The following is a 201-nucleotide window of genomic DNA, read 5'->3' as shown; positions in this document are numbered from 1 at the left end:
TTCTTCTCTGATTGCATCTCTTGCACTTCACTTGTCCCATTCTATCTATACCGCCTTCCTTGAACAAGGCAAGCACACTCTTGACTCAGGGCCTTCGCATTTGCTCTTTTATCTGCTTGGAACAGTCTTCCCCACCTATGCTCTTGGCTTATTTTCTCACTTCCTTCAAATCTTTGTTCAAGAGTCATCTTCTCAATGAGC

General features: G+C 43.8%; 1 annotated feature.

Annotated features, from left to right (window-relative positions):
* Positions 1-201: a silencer, noted in NCBI's record as "peak2774 fragment used in MPRA reporter construct". NCBI's record gives its function as "represses an SCP1 promoter by STARR-seq MPRAs in K562 erythroleukemia cells {active_cell/tissue: K562}" and the evidence as "EXISTENCE:reporter gene assay evidence [ECO:0000049][PMID:32103011]".

The sequence above is a fragment of the Homo sapiens genome, chromosome 17 (genome assembly GCF_000001405.40).
Source record: "Homo sapiens chromosome 17, GRCh38.p14 Primary Assembly".
Lineage (NCBI taxonomy): Eukaryota > Metazoa > Chordata > Mammalia > Primates > Hominidae > Homo > Homo sapiens.
The sequence above is the reverse complement of the archived record's forward strand: the minus strand, read 5'-3'. Positions and strand labels throughout refer to the sequence as shown.